Genomic DNA, 20,484 nt, shown 5'->3' on the forward strand with positions numbered 1-20,484 from the left:
TGCAAGTGGGGAGTCTACTCAGACATCCAACTTTCATTTAATGAACATTATTCACCCCCTTACAAGCTTCAACAGTGGTGTTTAAGGACAGGACTCTTGAGCTAGACCACCTGGCTTTGAATCCCTGTTTTCCAGTTGCTAGACCTTGGGTGAGTTGCTCAAGCTCTTTGTGCCTCAGTTTCCTCATTTGTAAAATGGAGATGACAACATAGTTGTAACTTCCAGTGGAAAGCAGCTACACTCCCATGGTTCCTAAAGAAGGAAGGAATTGGTGAAACTGGTGTGGGGGCATTTCTGAGCTCCAGGTGACCCACCTGGCTTTATGTGATGGCAGATTGTGAGGCAGCAGCTCCTCAAACCCAGTCCTTGAATGAAAGCTAAAGATACCTTGCCCAATCTCTAGGCAAGGCTGTGCTTGTCTCACGGGAGACTGTGCTTTTCCTACACAGGCTGATGAATGGTGGGGGCACCCACCTGGATCAGCTTCCAGAAGAGTAAGTCAAAAATACAGAGTTATTGAGAAAGCCTCAACTAAACCTTATTGAATTTCTCCTTGTATTTCAGCATTTCGGGCACCATTCCCTTGGCATGTGTTTATCCTTGACATTTCTAAAATCAAACCCCACATCTCACAGGCATAGTTCAGAGCAGGAAAAGGTAAGATTGATATCCCTGTCTAAAATACTATGCCAGGTTTCCCAGAAATCACTTGACATTTCAGGTTCTTTTACTAAGTGAGCTGAATGGACCAAAAATGTAGGCAAACAGAAACATACTTCTAATTCAGGAAGATCGTGTGCCTTCATGTCCCCCTCCGGACTCATGCAAGGCCCAAGAAGAGGGTTGTTTTCTTAGCTATTCAACCATAAGCCAGTTTATGGTTCTGTCTCTTGTCCTTTTGCCTTAGTATGGAAAGACCACATCTGCTGGTTCCAATGAATGTGCTGATCTAGAGGGAAGGGACTCAACGTTTTGGTGCTGGGTGAATTGGAGTAGAGGCCAGATGCCCACTTGATGGGCTCCTTGGCAATCTGATGAGAATTCTCAGCATCATCATGTCCCCTTGCTCCTCTATTTCCTGGAGTCCTGAATGAAGTCACACCTCCCAGACCCAGGATGGAGTGTCCACCTCCTCCATATGTTGTATCTTGAGGGTTGACATCATTGAGTCAGGAACAGGTTCTGGGTGAAGCTTTACAGTGGTAACCCCACTGTCACCCCCAAATTGGTGGCATCCACATGCCTGATGGTTCTTACCTTAGTTTCTGCCCAGTTATCTTGCCTAGGGCCAAGTTCTTCTAGTCCAGGGACTTTGTCCTGAGTCCTAGCTCAGGGTTTAGAAACGAAGTCTTTCCCTACTAGCCTCTCTTCTTGGGGGTAGATCCAGCTCACCATGGCTTGTCTGCCTACTGGAGTCTCTGTTGATACTGGCTGTGGTTTTGAGATGGGCCTTATGCTCTGGGGTAGACCAGAGCTTGATGATCTACATCAAGTTTTCTGTTTTTCAGATACCGTGCCTTCACAGCCTAACTACCTTTTGGAGGCCAGCCTTTTTGCTAGCTTTGTTTGCCAAGCCTCGACCTACCTGAGCTCAGCTCCCCACCTGCATCTGGTGGTTCCAAGTCTCAGCAGGCATGAAGCTTTACTTTGTTTAAATGTCCTCAGTCTGTTGGACTGAACAACCCATGGGGCTTTCCTGACCTCGGATTCTCTGAGTCTATGAAGATTGTAACAGCCTCTGGCATTGGTAGAGGGATTTACAGTATGCTGAGGCTTTTCACTTGTCATCTTCACATTCCTTTGGGGCCTTGCATGAATTTGGAGGGGGCATACTTCTTTGATGTGTATATCGTTTCCTAGAGCAAACAGCATCCCAAATGTGGTTCAAAGTTCAAGGTTTACCTGAATCAATTCCCTCTCTGCTTTGTGCCTCAAGAGAAGACAGCTTCACTTCTAACATTAGGGTCCCACTTGAGATGCCTCAGGTAGATGTTTTTTTGAGGGTATATCTACTGTGGATTTGTTACCTGGGGCTAAGTTTCTTTTAAATGGGATGGTGTTCAGAGTCAAGTGTTTAGAGAATGGTTGGGATTTTATAATTCTCATTCAATTACTTAAACCTTGTACCTCCAACATAGCGCTTATCAGAATAGCTTAGTGTTTATAAACATGGACTCTGGGCTCAGAAAGACTCAGGTGCCTGTGGCATAGGCAGTTACATTTCACTTTTCCTTTTGGTAAGGGAACACAGGAATCATCCATTCCCTAACTTCCCCTGCAGTGAGGTGGGACAGAAAGATGATGTATGCCTGGTAGCTGAGACCTTCTAAGTGATTCTTGTTTCTTTCCCTTTTTTCTCCTCAGATGGCTGGATAGAGAGGGCCAAGAAGAGAACTCCAATGCAGAAGGAGGTTAGGCTTCCCAAAAATTGCACAGGAGACCCCTTGACACATATCCAATAGAACATAAGCAAGAAGTACATCTTTTATTGTGTTTTAGCCACTAAGATTGGGAGTTATTTGTTATAGCAGTTGGCTTTTATTGAACAATATAGTTATGAAGCTAGTTCTACAACTAACTACATGACCTTGGCCAAATCCTTTAATTTTTCTGGGCTTTCTCACCTGTATGAAATTTTCCTGGCAATCTTGTGGTCATAAGCACGTAGGTGTCTTCCAGGAAACAGTGTGCTTGCCCACAGTAGCTCACTTACCCATTGCCTTTCTCATTGTTCCTCCAATGTGCCGGACTTGATACCCCTCTGGGCTTTCGCACTTGCTGTTACTTTTTCTTGTGAAACTTTTCTCTCAGGTCTTATGGGTCACCTCTTTCTATTATTTAGGGCCAATCATTGACATCACATCTTCAAAAAAGCCTTCCCTGGTGACTCAGTTAAATCAGCATCCCTGTCCTCCCATTCTTTATCCCAAGTGGCCAACTTAATTTTCTTTGTTGCCTCTACCTCTATCTGAAAGCAGATTATTATCCCAAGTGGCCAACTTAATTTTCTTTGTTGCCTCTACCTCAATCTGAAAGCAGATTATTTATGTATTGGTTAATAAGAATATTATATATTATTCCCCAACCAGAATGTTAGCTCTATAAGGGAAACACTTTTGCTAGGATTTCCCTGGAGGATAGGACAGCCATATCCACATTGTAGTTGCTCAGCAAATACTGATGAACGTACTGGTCAAGTGCTGTGAGGATTACAGGAGGTCATTATGTAAAAAATTTGGCGCTTGGCCTGGCACATGGCAAGTGCTCAAAAATAGCAGATGGTGGTGAGTATCTGACTGTATGGAGTTTCTGTTCACTTCACATGTCCCACTCTTCCACCTAGTTGTAAGTCTCTCAAACTCTCAAAGTCAGAAACTAGATCTCATTTATCTTTGCCTCCCAATAAACCTTGTACACAAGAGGTGACCAATAAATATTTGTGAAGGGAACATTTGAAGAGAATCTCAAATTGTGTCCTTGATCTGGTACATTCAAAGACCAACGAAACCATCCTTGTTCTAAAAAAAATTAAACCTTTTTATTAGTATATTTATTTTATATATAAAAGAAATACAAAAAAAAAAAACAGAAAGAAAATGCTTTTATGGCAAATCAGATTTGTCGGTGCCTTCAGCCTGGGCTCCAGGCTCTGTGCCGCTGGGTGACAACAAAGTCCGCCGGTTGTAATGACCCTTGATGATTCCTGTGTTGTTGTTCTCATTGAGTAGCTGCTTCTGCCTTTGCCTATTGAGGGACTGGACAAGTCCCAGGACAACCGCGGCCAGGGAGTACTGCCCAGGCAGTCTTCTTGGGGGCAAGATGAATGGGTTGGGTTGGACTCTTCCCAGAAGAAAGTACGTTTTGATTTTTCCTTCCTGTTCACTGATACCCTTCACATAGATCTCCCCTCGGTAATCAAAGGCAAAGCCCTGGTCCTTCAGGATGAGATAGGTCTCCTCTGGGACTTGGATCCGGCCACTAACCCCCGTGCTGTCCATTCGGCTTGCCAGGTTCACAGTTTTGCCCCAAATGTCATACTGTGGTTTCTTAGCGCCGATAACGCCAGCTACCACTGAGCCGTGGCTGATGCCTGGGGGGTGAAGCAAAGGAGCAAGAAGTCAGAGGGAGAAGGGGGACAATGGGGTGTTTGGACCCCTCCCTGGGACAGTGATCACTATGTGTGGGGTCTCTGTGGATGAACGGGAGGGTCCAGATCCTGCCCCCAGTCACTTATTAGATGTATCACCTGGGTCAGTTAATTAACCTATTTGGACCTCACTTTTCTCATCAGTAGAATGGAAATAATTAAAGGCAGATTTAATGAGATAATACAAGTAAAGCCACTGTGGCATGGTGCCTGGCAACCAGTGAGTGTTCAATTGAATATAATTATTATTGTCATATGAGCACTGACTTGTCTTAGTCTGTGAGATGATCAGAGCATGGACCAGAAGTCAGGACCCTAGGATCTCCTGCTTCTGCTGACACAGTGCTCTGAGAGCCTGCACAGGCCTTTTCCCTCTCTGTTTTAGCCCAGGTCCTCAGCATCATTCCCTTGGTCCATGGCGATGGCTTTCTAACTGTCCTCCCTGTCTCCTCCCTTGTTCCCTTGAGCTCATCCTCCACACTGCTGCAGGAGCGGGAGGGCTCGTTCTGATCAAGTTGCATATCTGATCAAGTTACAACCCACTTAAATATCTTCCAGGGCTCCTTTCACTTACAGGATAAAGCCAATGATCCTTAGACTCACAATCAATAACCTCTCTGATATGGCTTTTGCCTGATTTTCCAGCCTCATTTATCCCACTCTCTTCCTTACTGCTGCATTATATTCACACTGAACTGCTGGAGTTTTCCTAACCTTCCAGCCAGTACCCACCTTTGTGCCTTTGTCCTGACTTTCCCCCTGCTTGTGCTATTACTTCCCCACACTTTCACAGTTTATCTGGTAAATACTTTTAAAGACAGTTTCAGTGCCTCCTCCACTAGGAAGCATAGAATTCTAGAAATGGTAGCATTTCACTAAACCTGTTAGTGGGCATGTATGTCTCTTTCTAAAAGACAATTATTTCATTCTACAAACATTGACTAGGCACTTGCTATGAGCCAGGTACAGTCCTAGGCATTGGGGATGTGGTGGGAAAGGAAAGAAATACAGCCCTGGTCCCCATGGAATTTACCTTCTACTGGGGAGAGATAGAAAATAATTTTACAAATGTAATATAATATTAATGAATGATTAGGGCTACAAAGAAAAATCAATGAGGGTAAAATAATGGAGAAAGATGGAAGAGAGTATATCTCGGAGTAAGGAGGTTAGCAAAGACCTTGTTGAGCAGAGAATATGGTGGGAATAGCCATGCAGATATCTCGGTAAGATTATTCTAGGCCGAGGCAAAAGCAAGACACGTATACCCACTGATATAAGTGACTGGAAATTTGAAAATCTCACTCTATGGAGTACATGGGAATCACAATGATAGTTAGCTCTTTAAAATTTGCAGAGAACTTTGACAGCCAATATCCCATTTGATTCTCATATTATTATTGTGAGGTAGAGAGGCAGAGGAGGTAATAATTTAACACCCAGCTTACATAGGAGGAAACGGAGACACAGAAGGTTTAAATGATTCACCCAAAGTCATACAGCTGGTTACAGCAGACCCAAAACACAAATTGAGATGCTTAATTCAGTTGGGAAGTTAATTTTCCAACCTCTGAGATCAGTGAAACTATACTACGAGTGTAATATGTCATGGCAAGGGTTGACCCTGATTTGGCAACATCTTCAGAATTTACTTAGAATATCTCTGTTCAGCATTACAGTTCCCTTTTTATTCCTGGTTCAATTGTGTAGTCAACAATTTCAGAAATGACATTGATAAGATTGATGGAAGATGTGGGAACAAGCGCTGAACATCCCATCCATAGATCAAAAACATAAAATATAAGCCCTTTAATGCAAAGAGCAAAGACATATGGCATTCCTTAGATCTGACAAGTCAGATATTGGTATTTCTTGACCTGTTTTTCTTGAAAGCTGCTAAGGGAGAAGCAGATAAAGTAAAATGGCATATCAGCCAGAAGATGTCTACAGTGTGAGGACCGTAGCAAAAGTTATTTTAAACTGCACTCTGGCAGCCAGAATGTCATTGTCTCAGAGTTAGGAAATGCTGGAGCTGCTGCTGGTGTGACTGTGTGATCTTAGGCTAGTTACTCCCTTTTCATAGGCCCGCATTTACTCATCTACAAAATGAGAATGTGGACTAGACCAGGGATATTCAGACTGCATTTTAGGAGGTCACTGAGGCTCAGTAGAGATGTGGAAGGAATGGCAAATATAAAGGATTATTATTGATTGCAGTGATTAATGTTACGTTGTTGCTTTGTGCGGTGATGTCTTTAAGCCCAAAGAAATGGCGAGCTTTGTGGCTGAGTAAAGCCTGTCCCTGGAAGTATAGTATCTGCCATCCTCAGGAGTAGAATCCTGCTTTTGTCTGAAGGAATTATCCTGAAGACCTTGAGAGCAATACATTGACCACCAGCATTGAGCTACCCAGGAGTCAGAATTAAATGACTGATTAGTCAGCTACATCTCTATGCACGACCTTGCATGGGCAGGCAAGTTGGAAGAGGGGTTCACAATAGTCTAGCATTTGCCAAAGGCTGGCTGCTTTGTATTTCTGCACACAAGCCAGTATCCTACTCTTGTTTCCAGCATCTTGACTGAGAGGAAACTAAGAAAGGCCTGAGCTGACCTTGTCCCTATCCTTGGCAGGGTCATGCTAGATCTATTGCATTTTGCAGGAAAAAGCTTTCCTGGATTGATGCCCAAGGCAGGGGAGGGTCTGTTGGAGCAAGGTCAGCTGGCTCTATCAGGCCCCACCTGCAGCTGCTACTCACCAATCCGGAGTTCAAAATTGTTGAATGAATGCTTGTTGATCTCCTGTATGCTTTCTGTCAGGGCGAGTGAGAAGTCAGCCAGAGCACACAAATGTCCCCACTTGTCTTCACATTGCTGAAGCAAACATGAGGAGAAGAAATCATTTAATGCGGAATGTGGGGGAACATTAACATTTCTGCAGCAGGGGCTTTACGTCCTAACCCAACCCTACCTGCACATCCCTTTAAGGAAATAATCATGTGGGTGAGCCCCTCTACACTCAAGTCACTGGTATCTCAGAACATGGGAAGACATAAGATTTGCTTGCAAGAGTGTAGTATATGTGGGTCATTGTATTCCTTCTTCCACATCTACACCTGTCTGTTCAGGTTGATGTAGCATCAATTCCGTAGTGTATGTTCACTGGCATGTGTGTGAATGAGTGTATGTGTGTATGTGTGTGTGTGTTGGGGGTGTGTGGGCGTGTGGGTGGCCGTGAGTGTATGTGGGTATGGGTATGTGTGTGGGTATGGGTATATGTGTGGGTATGGGTATGTGTGTGTATATGTGCTCTTATGTATGTGTAGTTTTCCAGTCTAAGAACTGTGTCTATTTCCTTTGAATTGCTCACAGTGTGTGTTTAAGGGATACATTTGCTTACAAAACTCCTAAGGGAAGTGCTGCATAAGCCTCTGGGCCTCTCTGAACCTCAGTTTCCAAATCTATAAAATGGGGATAAGCATACTTGCCCTTCCTACCTCGTAGGTATTGAATGAGATTTTTTATATGAGAGAACTTTGTGCCCCTGTAGAACAGAGGTTAGCAAACAGTTTCAATAAAGGCTAGATAGCCAATATTTTAAGGTTTGTCGACCATATGGTCTTTGTTGTGACACTCAACATTGCCATTTTAGCTTGAAAGGAGCAATAGGCAAAATATAAATGAATGGGCATGGCTGTTTTCCAATAAAGTTTTATTTATAAAAACAGATGGTGGGCCAGATTTGACCTGTGAGCTGTAGTTTTCTGATCCCTGCTGCACACGTACCAAATAATAACCAGCATGAGTTTCATCCCAGATAGTCACTCTTGAAGTATTTTATTGTTTTTAGTTGGAAAAAAGCATACGAAGGATTGGAAGAAATTGATGAGAATTCCATTTCCCCAAGTATCTTGGACTCATATTCTTTTAACACTAATTGAGGACTTTACTAGATGCAAGGCTTTGCTTGGGGAGCATGACATTATCTGAGATAATTCATCCATTAACCCTGGAAGGTAGACAGTGTTGCCATTTAACACCAGTGCCTGGAACACAGTCAACACTCCAAAAAGCAGCAACTGTTATTATTATGATGTAAGACTTTTGAAAGACAAAACCAAAATAGGAAAAAAGAGGCTAGTATTAGGGGTTTAGTAAGATCCACAACTAAATCACAATAGGCTATTTCTGGGCTCTTGATTTTGTTCAAGGGAACAATGAGGTTCAGAACAAAGCCTAGAAGTTTCTCAAAAAAGCAGCGTGGCTTCATCTGGTAGACTCTACCTACCTTGGGGGCAAATCCACATCACGTAACTATTATAATCCAGTCCATTAGATTTTCTCCCCATCTTTCCCCAAGGATCTTGGTGACAGAGGCTTCACCACCGTCGGTGACATGACAACAGCAAGACCCCACCATGCATTGTGGCTGAGTCCAAAGAGTCCTTTACCTGTTTTTCAGGTGACAGGCCTGACACGGCCATGTAGGTGCTGCCAATGGTCTTAATCTTTTCAATGTCTTGAAATCGGTCTTCACCAAGCAACTGAAAGAGAGCCAGGCAATGGTGTTAGCCCTGGTGTTTATTCTTCCAGCAGCCTGGGCTCCTGAAAACAGGCCCCTGGCTCACAATGAGCTACCTCTGATGGTTCAATATCCTCTAGTTATCTGCTTTTCTCTCTGAGAATCATGCTTTCAGCCAGTCACATATATTTAATGAGCACTTGCTAAGGGTCAGGAGTGGAGATGGGTGTAAATTGGTACTCTTTAAGGAGTAGGTCTGCCCCTTCACATGTAAATCAGATCCTGTCCCTGCTCTGTGCCAAACCTCCTATGGCTTTCTGTTTTACTCAAGGTCAAAACCAGTCTTCACTGTGACTTGCAAGGCTTGCCAAGACCTGTCCGCTCTCTTATCGTCTCCCTCTCTCACTCTGCTCCAGCTGCACTGATCCCCTTTGCCCCTTGCCACACTGACCTGAGAACAAGCTCAGCCTGCTTTGGCCTCAGGACTTCTGCACCTGTTGTTCTCTTGCTGGGCTACTCTTCCCTGGGACAAGTGTATGGCTTACTCCCTCACCTCCTACAGGTCTTTCCTCAAATCTCATCTTTGCAGTGCAGTCTTCTTGACCACCTTATTTAAAATTGAACGCAGCATCCCATTCCCACATACATATTCTTATCTTCCTTCCCTGTTTTACCTTCTCTCCTTAGCACTTATCCCTGATATTGCTTATTTATTGTCCTCTTCCTCTAGGGAATGTAATATTCCTGGAGCATATATTTTCCACTGTTGTGTTTACTACTCAGCACCTAGACAGACTGTAGAGAAGAATGAATGAGTGAATGATTAAATGAAGGAATGGGTGCTATCCTGGGACATTTCCTTTACCTTTACCTGTGGTTTCGGTTTTAATGCTAAGAGAGGGAAACCTTGGTGTCTTATTTAGCAATGGTGGTAGGCAGAATAATGCTTCCTGAACCCAGGCCCCAAAGATGCCTGTGTCTTAATTCCTGGAACCTGTGCATATGTCAGGTTACATGACAAAAAGGACTTTGCAGAGCCTCTGGAAGGAGCACAGCCCTGTAAGTTTCATTTTGGATTTCTGACCTCCAAACAGTAAGGTTATAGATTTCTGTTGTTTCAAGCCACTAAATTTGTAGCCATTGGTTACAGCAGCAGTAGGAAATTAATACAGTAACTATTCATTGAGTTCTTATATGTTGGATGAACAAGATACATGAGCTCTACCAACCCAAGTAGGGAGGTCAGATGTTAAAAATAAATACACAGAACATGCCCTAGTTCAATTTTAATAGAATTTATGTTGGAAATATACAGGGTAGAGGGATGAGGAGATCAGGCCATTTTGATCTAATCTGAAGGATCTAGGAAGGGATCCCTCAGCAAGTGATTTCTAGCTTCAGTTCTAAAGGGTGAGGAGGGGTTTTTCTAGCAGTGAGTGTATGAGTTTGTGTGTGTTGGGGAAGCTAGGGGCATGGGAAGGGGAGCATCCAGAAATAGGGGCCAGCATAGATGAGGTCTGGAAGTTGGGGAGAATGTACAGGAGGTCCAAAGAGTGAAGACGAGGTCAGTTTGGCCACAGTGTGGTAAGCCAGGCCATAAGTTGAAGGAAAAGAGCTGAGAGAGGTAGTGGGGGCCAGAACACACAAGGCCCTGGAGGACACACAGATGATATTGAAGACAATGGGTCTCTATGCTAAGAGTAGTGACAAGCACTGAAAGGGTGTAGGCAGAAAGAGACCAAGTCAGGTTTGGATTTTGGAAAGTTCATTCTTATTGTCATGAGGGGAGGGAAACATGAGGGGAGACCTACTGCAAGATCCAGGCAGGCAATGACAATGGCTTGGGTTAGGGATGGAGTCAGATATATGGATATTTTGAAAGATTATATTGGTGGTGATAGAATCAACAAGATTGGTGCTGTGTGGCGTTCCTGCAAATTAGCTTCTAACATTTGCTAGTCCCAGATGTAGATTTGTGTGTGTGTGCCTGTGTGCAACTATGTGTGCATATTGCGTGTGGGTGTGGGTGTATATGTGCATATATGTGTGTATGGTGTTTATGTGCATGTGTGTCCACCTGCATACATATGTGTGTGGACACACATGTGGGCACATTTGTAGTGATGTGTGTATGTCTACATGTGTACAGTACATGTGTAGTGATGTGTGTATGTCTACATGTGTACAGTACATGTGTGCATGTGTGATGTTTATGTGCACATGTATGTCCATGTATGTGTCCACATGCATGCATTTGTGTGAGTATGCATTTGCATGTGTGCATGTGTGTGTTGTTTTCATGCCTGTGTCCACATGTATGTGTGCCTGTGTGTGGGTGCACACACACATGTGTGTTGTTTATGTGCATGTGCATCCACATGTGTGCATTTGTGTGTAGTCATGCACATATATGTACATATGTGTGTGGTGTTTATATGTGTGTCCACATGTGTGCATGTGTGTGTGCGTTTGTGTTCGGGGCAGTCAGGCGGCAGAGAAGGGGTGTCAAGAAAGTCAAGAATAGTTTTGGATTATATCACATGCTTGTCTATCACATGCATTTATTTCATATTGGCTTGGTGTTATGCACCAAGAATTTCTAAGCTCCAAAGATTGACAAGCTATAAACTCACATACAATATTTCCCTTCATTTGTCATTGAACACTTAAGTTGATTTCATATCCTGGCAATTGTGAATGATGCTGCAGTGAACACGGGAGTGCAGACATTCCTTTGGCATATTGATTTCATTTCCTTTGGGTATACACCCAGTAGTGGGATTGCTAAGTTTCCATCAATGGATGAGTAAATTCAAAAAATGTGTTATATATACACAACGGAATACTATTCAGCCATAAAAGAAGGAAATCCTGTCATTTTAGAAAACATGGATGAATCTGAAGGGCATTATGGTAAGTGAAATAAGCCAGGCACAGAAAGACAAATGTCATATAATCTCACACATATGTGGAATCTACAAAAGTTGAACTCATAGAAGTAGAGAGTCAATGGTGGGGACTGGGGATGGGGGTGAAGAGGGACTGGGGAGATGCTTGACAATGGGTACAAACTTACAGTTAGATAGGAGGAATAAGATCTGTTCTATTGCACAGTAGAGTGACTATAATTAATAATAATATACTGTATATTTAAAAACAGCTAGAAGGAAGGATTTTAAATTTTCTTATCACAAATAAATGATAAATATTCGAGGTAATGAATATGCTACTTATTCTGTTTTGATCATTACATATTATATACATGTATCAAAACATCACATTGTACTCTATAATATGTATAATTATATTTGTCAATTAAAATAAAACTTTAAGAAATTAAAAAAATTTGCAAATTTATTTGCACCAAATTGGAAACTACTCCAGAACAAAAATAATGAACTCTTGAAACACACAAGAATATGATAAATCTCAAACAAATTACACTAAGTGAAAGAAGCCAGATATTAAAGAGTACCTATCATGATTATTTCATTTATATAAAATTCTGGAAAATGCAGAGTAACCTATTGTAATAGAAAGCAGATCAATAGTTGCACTGGAATGAGGGGACGGGGAGGAGCAGGAAGAAAGAATTATGAAGGTATGAATAAACTGTTGGGAATGATGGATATGTTCAGGATCTTAATTGTGGTGATGTTTCATAGGTGTCTAAACATATCAAAACTTATCAAATTGTATATTTTATATGCAGGTTTTTGAATCAACTATAAGACAACAAACCTGTTAAAATAATTACATAAAACCAAATATATGCTATTAAGAGTAAAGACATTCCCTAAACTCTAATGGGCTGGCTAATCTCAATGTCTGTGGGCTCCCTAGACAAGTTGAAGCATGTATCCCTGTGCCTGGCCTCTCCTCTGAGGAAGCTTCGTGGGTGCCTCTCTCTGCACCAACAGCCCTCGTCTGTCATCGTCACTTTATATTGAATGATTGGTGTTTGCCATACCAAGTGGACAGTATAATTTTGGAGAGTGGGTACAACATTGCATGTTTCCTTGTACCCCAAGTCTAATGGTCTGGGATGCACTGATAATTGTTAATATTCCTTGGAAACACTAGGTGATATTTGGATGGCTTCTCACCTCAGTGCAGTTTAAGAAAACTTCACCCGATATCCATAATATACCTTGCAACCCTGTGCAGTCAATATTTTGTCCCCATTTTATATAGGAGGAATTTGAGGCACAGAGGGGCTGACGGAATTGCTAAAGGCCACCCAGCTAAGAAGAGTCAGAACAGAATTTGAATCTTGATTGCTTGACTCCAAAGTCACGCCTGCCTTTCCTGCTACCTTGCCTTAAAGCAGTGATTTTCAAAGTGTGGTCCCATAAGCATCACCTGGGAACTTGGTTGAGTTGCAAAATTGCGGCCCCTTCAGTCCTACTGACTCAGAAACTCTCGGGATGGGGCTTGGCAACCTGTGTTTTAACAGGCTTTCCAGGTAGTTCTAGTGCATGCGTGAGTCAGAGAAGCACCACTTTAAAGGAAGAGGATGAGCTGCCTGGGGGATAGTCAAGTCATTCATTCATTTATTCATCCAGTAGGTAGTTATTGAATATTATATTCCAGGCACTGAGGTAGGGATACAAAGTCTTTGCCTTTGATGGGCTTGCCGTGTCCTGAGTTGCACATCCCCACACATCATGGACAAGTGCATGCTGCTTTGAGGGCTGGAGTTAATGTGGATTTGAACTTCTCTTCCAGATTTGAACTTAAACTATACGGTTCTGTGGTGTCTTCTACCTAAGCACTGAATAAGCCATGGCACATTTCAATTCCCATTCTCAGATATGATTATTAGAGAGACCCATGGGATGCGTTGGCTTTGAATTCCCCAGTTTGAAATGATTTAGGAGGGTGAAACGTCAAAGCCTCCTATCTCCTTGTTTTTAATATCTATAAGTGTTCATGTATGGTAGGGGCTATGATAGTACACAATCCCATTATAAAGTAGCCTGTTCTATTTTTGTGACCTGCATGTCAAAGTTCGCTCCGTGCCTAATGAAACACAGCATGTCTCCACCTCTGATTACACAGGAAGCCTTGCCACCCTCCTCAACTTTCTAAATATCTACTCTGCTGAGACTTTAACCTGGAGTTTGCAGTTGAGGCTTTTCAAAGAATCAAGCCTCACATTTTTGGTGGTGGTGGGGCACAGACAGGTCACAGATGAACAGGATTTAGTTCCAGGTCATCCATTTTACCCCCATCTATGCTGGCTGGTAGGGATTCACTCCCTGGGGACCTCAGCTCAGGCCACTGTTGGGAAGCCTCTGAATGAGAGATCCTTCCTCCGTCGATCCATTATACCTTTGGGCTGAGATGGCAGCTCTGGGGCAATATAGAAAGAGCCGAACTCTTCTCCATGGGCCAGCCCTTCAAGTGACGGTACTCAGAAGTGGTTCTTACATCTCTCCTATTTCCCAAATCTCCTTTGAATTTCCCCAGAGTAATCTCTTGATGATGTAGTTTCCAGATCTGTAGTACTCAGTTTACACGTTCATGCCCTTTCCCAAATTCTTGGGAACAGCATGGGCCAACGGCTAGAACATGGTTCTGTGTGGTTCAGCACAGCTGGGTTGGGTCTCCTCTGCTTTTACACTACTTACTTTTTGGCTTCAAAGTCAAAAATAAACAGACATAAATCCTGCTCTCTCTCATGAAGCTTATACTCTATTGTGGGTGAAACAATCAAAAAGAAATTTTACAGCAGGCTGTATGCCAATGGGAAAGATCTAGCAGAGAGGGTGATGGGTGGAGTCAGGGAAAAGGGGAGAATGCTGGAGCAGCATGCCTAGGTGACAAGGGATGGGACCTATGCATGCCTGTGGGCCTCGGCCCTCACCAGGAGCCCTGAGAGTTCCTCCCCATTCCTGGAGAAAAGGCACATATGTGCACACAGGGGCAGGTGCCGGTAAGCGGAGTGGGCTGGAGAAGTGCCTGGAGAAGACAGGAAAACTGTGCTGACCTCTGGTTTAAGAAATTGCTTACGACATACTGATTTAAAGGCAAAGGACTAGCTCTAGCCTTCCTCTTACATGTTGTATGCCCAGGGGCTGTGGCATAGGTATTTTCCTATTACAAGAAGAAAGTACCTGAGACTTGGTGATGCGGCTGGCTCACCTCCAAGGCTGCACAGGGCACAGCTTTAACCTCATGTCTGGAGTGAACCTTTGGCAGGAGATTATAGTAGTGCACACCTGCTTCTACAGCTCACTCCACTTACCTGCACCTGTGTGCACACATGTGCCTCTCTCCAGGTGTGGGGAGGAACTCTCAGTGCTCCTAGTGAGGGCCGAGCCCCACAGGTGTTTACAGGTCCATCCCTTGTCATGTAGGCATGCTGCTCCAGCATTCTCCTTTGTCCCTGACTCCATCCATCTCACCCTCTCTGCTAGATTTTTCCCATCAGCATACAGCCTGCTGTGAAATTTCTTATCCTACAGCAGTCTTTCTTGACATCACTTTCCTTTCTACTTGTCTCCTTTTTTTGCTGTACAACTTCTGAAAAGAGTTGTCTAGACTGATTGCTTCCATTTTCCTCCTCCCCATTTTTTCCTAAGCCTGGTCCTGCCATGCCACTGAAACTGCTCCTTTCCAGGTCCTGGAGGCCCTCCATGTCCCATGCTGCTGGCTGTCCTCAGCCTCGCTTCTCTTGGGCTACCAGCAGCACTGGACCCAGCTGATGGGGCTCTACTCCTGTTTATACCTTTGTTCCTACTTAGCTTCCCCAACTTCAGATTTTACTTCCACTTCACTGGTGATGCTTCACCAGTCTCTGTGGTTAATTCCTTCTTTCCACCATTATCTTATATCATAGGTGAGCCTCAGGGCTCAGGCCTCAGACCTCTTTTCTTTTCCATCTAGCTCATTTCCTTGTGGTATCATCATGTCTTACAGCTGTAAATACAATCTCTTTGCTGAAAACTCCTAACTGCATGCCCTGCCTTGACCTTCAGACTCAGTATGGAATTGCTTACATGATGTCTTCATTATAGGTCTAACAGGTGTCTCAGATCTGCCATTCTCAAAGCTGGCCCCTTGTTCCTCCTCATCGACCCCCATCTTGGTTAGTGGTGTCTCCATTTTACCAGTTGCTTCAGAATAAAACCCATATAACCCACATCTAATCTATCAGCAGATCCTTAGCCCTATCTTTAAAGACATTCAGGTTCTGACCCTGTCTCATCACCTCCTTGGTCCTAGCCACCCTCATCCATTTTCTTTTATTGAAATAAGCCTCTTAATTGGCTCCCTTCTTCCACTCTTGACCCTGTTCTTCACACAGAGCTGAGAGGAACCCTGTTAAAATCAAAGTTACGTTACATCCCTTCTCTGCTGGAAACCCTCGTAGCCATCCCCATCAGTCTCAGAGTAAAAGCCAAAGCCTTTGCTCTGGTCCATGAGGTCCTGTAATATTTGGCACTCTGGCCCTTCTCTCCATCAGCCACTGACCCTGCCACGCTGGTTTAAAGGCAGGAACCAGCTCCAGCCTTCTTCTTGCATGTTGTGTGGCCAGGAGCTGCGGCCCAAGTCTTTCCCTGTCTAAATAGAAAGTACCCAAGACATGCTGATGCAGCTGGCTCACCCCTAAGGCAGCACAAGTCAGGTTCCATCACCTGACTTGCTCAAGAGAACAAGAGAAAGCCTGCTGCACACACCCTCCTCAGGGCTTAGAACGTGGGCTTTTCCTTGCCTGCCGCCATGCCCCCCAAGCTGTTTCTATGGATCAGTTCCACGTCCTCATCTCCTCCAGGCCTCTCAGTAAGCCCTTTCTCAGAACCCTCTCTGAAATTGCACTATGGGTGTCCAACCATCTCGGTTCACCCAGGTCGGGGGATTTTTTGAGATGCAAAACTTTTAGTGCCAACACCAGGAAAGTCCTGGGTAAGCGATGAGTGGGTGACTCTAATTGCACCCCTCCCTCCAAACCTTCCTTCCCATGTTCCCTGCATTATCTTCCCCCACCGAATGTATCTCTGTCTATTGTACAACATATTTACTTGTTATTCTTTTTGATTGTTCTTCACCCACAATAGAGTATAAGCTTCATGAGAACAGGATTTATGCCTGTTTAGTTTGTCATTATATCTTGTGCGCCCAGGGCAGGACTTCACTAGATACTGGTTCAATAAGCCCATAAACAGCAAATTCTCTGAGGCTGGCTTTCAGTGTCACTCTTGTCAATGAAGCAAGATTCAGTTAATCACTGTCACATGGACTTCATATTCGCAGTGCATTTCCAGGGTGGAAGAGTATTAGTTGCAGAATGATGAGAAGTAGAACATATTAGTTTAGAAGATCATAAGTGCACCTCTCCCTTCCTTTTAAACAAACTTACATTTTATCCCTATGCACTTCTAAAAAGGGTGTGAATACTATACTGGGTTAAATAGTGCCTCTCAAAAATTCATGTCCTCACAGACTCTCAGAATGTGATCTTCTTTGGAAATAAGTTTTTTGCAGAGTAATTTTTAAAGCTAAGAAGAGGTCATATTAGATTAGGGTGAGCCTTAAATCCATTATGGCTGGTGTCCTAATAAGAAGAGGAGAGGGCACAGAGACACACACAGGGACAAAGACATGTGAGGATGGAAAGAAATTGGAATCATGCTGCCACGGTCAGCCAGCCACCACCAGAAGCTGGGAAGAGGCAAGGCAGGAGTTTTCCCTAGAGCCTTCAGAGGGAGCAGGGCCCTGCTCACCCCTTGATCTCACTCTTCTTGCTTCCGGAATTGTGAAAGAATGCATTCTGGATTTGTTTGTTTGTTCGTTTGTTTGTTTTGAGACAGAGTCTTGCACTGTTGCCTGGGCTGGAGTGCAGTGGTGCGATCTCGGCTCACTGCAACCTCCACTTCCCAGGTTCAAGTGATTCTCCTGCCTCAGCCTCCCGAGTAGCTAGGATTATAGGCACCCACCAGCACGCCTGGCTCATTTTTTGTATTTTTACTAGAGATGGGGTTTCACTATGTTGGCCAGACTGGTCTCGAACTCCTGACCTCGTGATCCGCCTGCCTCGGCCTTCCAAGGTGCTGGGATTAAGGCATGAGCCACGACGGCCAGCCTCTGTTGTTTAAAGACACCAAATGTGTGGTACTTTGTTACAGCCACACTAGAAACAAATACACATAATAATAAAATGAACTTTTAATGATCATAGTTATGTGCCAAGTGTATTAGTCTGCTCAAGCAGCCATAATAAAAACAAACAACAGAAACTCATTTCTCACAGCACATGAATTTTAGGGAGGAGATGCTATTCAGTCCATCACATCAAATACAGTCTTAAGTGCTTTTTAATCTCTGCATTTAACTTACAATGACCCTACTGTATCTCATTTTGTAGATGGGAAAACTGAGGTGCATAGAGGGATTAAATAACTTGCTTAAGGACATAGAGTGAGAAAATGGCTAAATTACATAAATTCAATGCCCTTGCAGGTAACTTTTAGATTAAAAATTCCAGGCTGGGGTGGTGGCTCACATCTGTAATCCCAGCACTGTGGGAGGCTGAGGCAGGCAGATCACCTAAGGTCAGGAGTTCGAGACCAGCCTGGCCAACGTGGTGAAAATCGCTGTCTCTACTAAAAATAAAAACCCCACAGTATACAAAGCATAAATTAAACATTTTAAAGAGATTAAAAAGTAGACTGGAAGAGGCGATGTCCGCATATACTGGGGCACAGAACTAGGGGCTCTGCCTCCGTCGATCATCTGTTTCTCTGAGTGGCACTTTGAGCTTAGTATTCACTTTGCAGATGAATCAGCAGAGCCTCCATGCGGTAAAATAATGTGTCCCAAGGTCCCAGGGTGAGAAAGGGGAGACAGGACCACGCATAGTTTGCAGGGTCCAGTGCAAAATGAAAATGTGGAACACCTTTTTCAAAAATTAAGACACACATGAGAGCAATAGCAGAACATTAAAACAAGCATGGGTTCCTTTTGGGACTGCACAAGCTGCACACTCGCGAAGCCGACCCTGAGTGGGAGAGTTAGGCTAAAACTCAAACCTCACTGATTCCCAAGTCTAAACTTTGTCTTCTTATTCCCACTCTTGGCAGATATTTAGATGTAATTTCTGATTCTCTAGCTTTTGCCTCCATTTAAGATTGTAATATCCTCCAGGTCTCATGTCATCCTGGGGTGGACAGACAGGCAGACGGAGCAGAAGATGGGTTCTCTACAGACTCTCTTGTTTCAGGCATCATCTCAAAATTAATCAGGGGCTAAGAAACTTGGAAAATTCCTCCTTGAGAGGAACTCTTCTGGGAACATGGAGAACACAGGTAGGTGCTTGGCTTTGGTGTGTGTGTGTGTGTGTTTGTGTGTATGTATAGCCTGATTTACAGCAGGGGCAGCCTTTGTTTATTATTTTTGTTTCTTGAACTAAAGTGAAGCCCCTCTTCTGCTGTCACAGAGATTCTGCCAGTCATGCCCAGGGTACACAGGTCTTCAGCCTTGGATCATGACTGATCTTTGCTTTCAGACACTAATCAAACATATTTGGTGTTTTGGCGCCCTTCAGCTGCTAATGTTTCAGCTTAAAAATCCTGGAACATCTTCAATTACTCACCTCCCTCCCTCTGCCTCCCTGTAACTACTTTCCCCCAGCTTTCTGCTGGTGGTGGACTGATCTGATGTGGTCCTGTGGAGAGCAGGTACTTTTCCTTCTCTTCTCTTCAGAATCACTTGGCCAAGAGCCAGCTTCAGGCTCTGGTAAGCCTCCCCCTCAGAAGATAATTTGGAGGCAGAAAGGAACTTCATTATCTCATTTAATATCCATCCAGCAGATTTATTTACTCTATAGCTAAAAGTGTCTGGGGGCATAGAGTGGTCCCTGATCAGCCCATTTGTGGAAGTCAGATGTGAGAGGGCTCTTCAGCCCTTTATTGAGGCAGGGGCTGTGGGATGAGGAGCCCTTGAGTTGGGTTATTGCAAACACAGTCTTGGAGATGTGATCTGTGCAAAGTTCAGCTTTTCTCTGAGCCAGGAAAGAATTTTGCATGATCTCAGGTTCCTGTGGTAATTATATCAGCAAGAAGAGAAGCATCAGTATTAAAGTGAACAGCAGGGGTCTGGCTGGAACTCAGCCAGGCAGAATCTAGAGGACCTCTCTTGACCAAAACAAAACAAAACAAAACAAAAAAGGCAGGTCTGAGTGACCCAAGGACCCACACACAGGCAAAACTGAGAGTGTTTGGGCTGGCAATTCAGGCCGCTTTTTTATTTTTCCTGTTGACTATATTCTCCCCTACCTTCCCCCCGCCTCACCCTTTCTCTTCCACCTCCTCCCCTTTCCTCCTCTTTTCATCCTTCTTCTCTTCATCGCTGCCTCTCTTCCCTCTCCTCTCTCCCCTCCTCCCCATCTACTTATCCTCCCCCTCCTCTTATTCATACTTTTCCTCCTGGTCTAATGCCCATGTTCTAAAGAACCCAGCCTCCTAGACCAATTCCCTGTTTTCCAACTTCCCTCTGCAAACACCCATTTCAATCACTAGGGGCACTGCCCTCTTTCTCCGCTTTCCAAGACTCTAGAGTGTCAACAATTTGGTTCACTGAGATGCAAATGTAATTCAAATATACTTTATTCACTACAATTTTAAAATATGAGAGGGAGCACTTTTGGAAGATGGGTTGCTATAAAGCAAACTTGTCCAACCTGCGGCCCACTGGCCACATGTGGCCCAGGACGTCTTTGAATGTGTGGCCCAACACAAATTTGTAAACTGTCTTAAAACATTATGAGACTTTTTTTTGCGAATTTTTTTAAAGCCCATCAGCTATCCTTAGTGTT

The 20,484-nt window shown here is 43.8% G+C and overlaps 1 protein-coding gene across 4 annotated transcripts in view; it reads right to left on the reverse strand.

Annotated features, from left to right (window-relative positions):
* Positions 1–3,513: 3,513 nt before the first annotated feature.
* Positions 3,514–20,484, reverse strand: part of ADCY8 (adenylate cyclase 8) — a 260,609-nt gene continuing 243,638 nt past the window's right edge. For all 4 annotated transcript variants that reach the window (XM_017013006.2, XM_006716501.4, XM_005250769.4 and 1 more), the window contains 3 exons: positions 8,596–8,688; positions 6,904–7,018; positions 3,514–4,090 (listed from right to left, as the gene is read on the reverse strand). In XM_017013006.2, the coding sequence (XP_016868495.1) occupies positions 3,603–4,090; positions 6,904–7,018; positions 8,596–8,688 (696 nt within the window). In that variant the 3' untranslated portion in view covers positions 3,514–3,602. The remainder of the gene's footprint in view (positions 4,091–6,903; positions 7,019–8,595; positions 8,689–20,484) is intronic.

Source organism: Homo sapiens, chromosome 8, assembly GCF_000001405.40.
Source record: "Homo sapiens chromosome 8, GRCh38.p14 Primary Assembly".
NCBI classification, from domain to species: domain Eukaryota; kingdom Metazoa; phylum Chordata; class Mammalia; order Primates; family Hominidae; genus Homo; species Homo sapiens.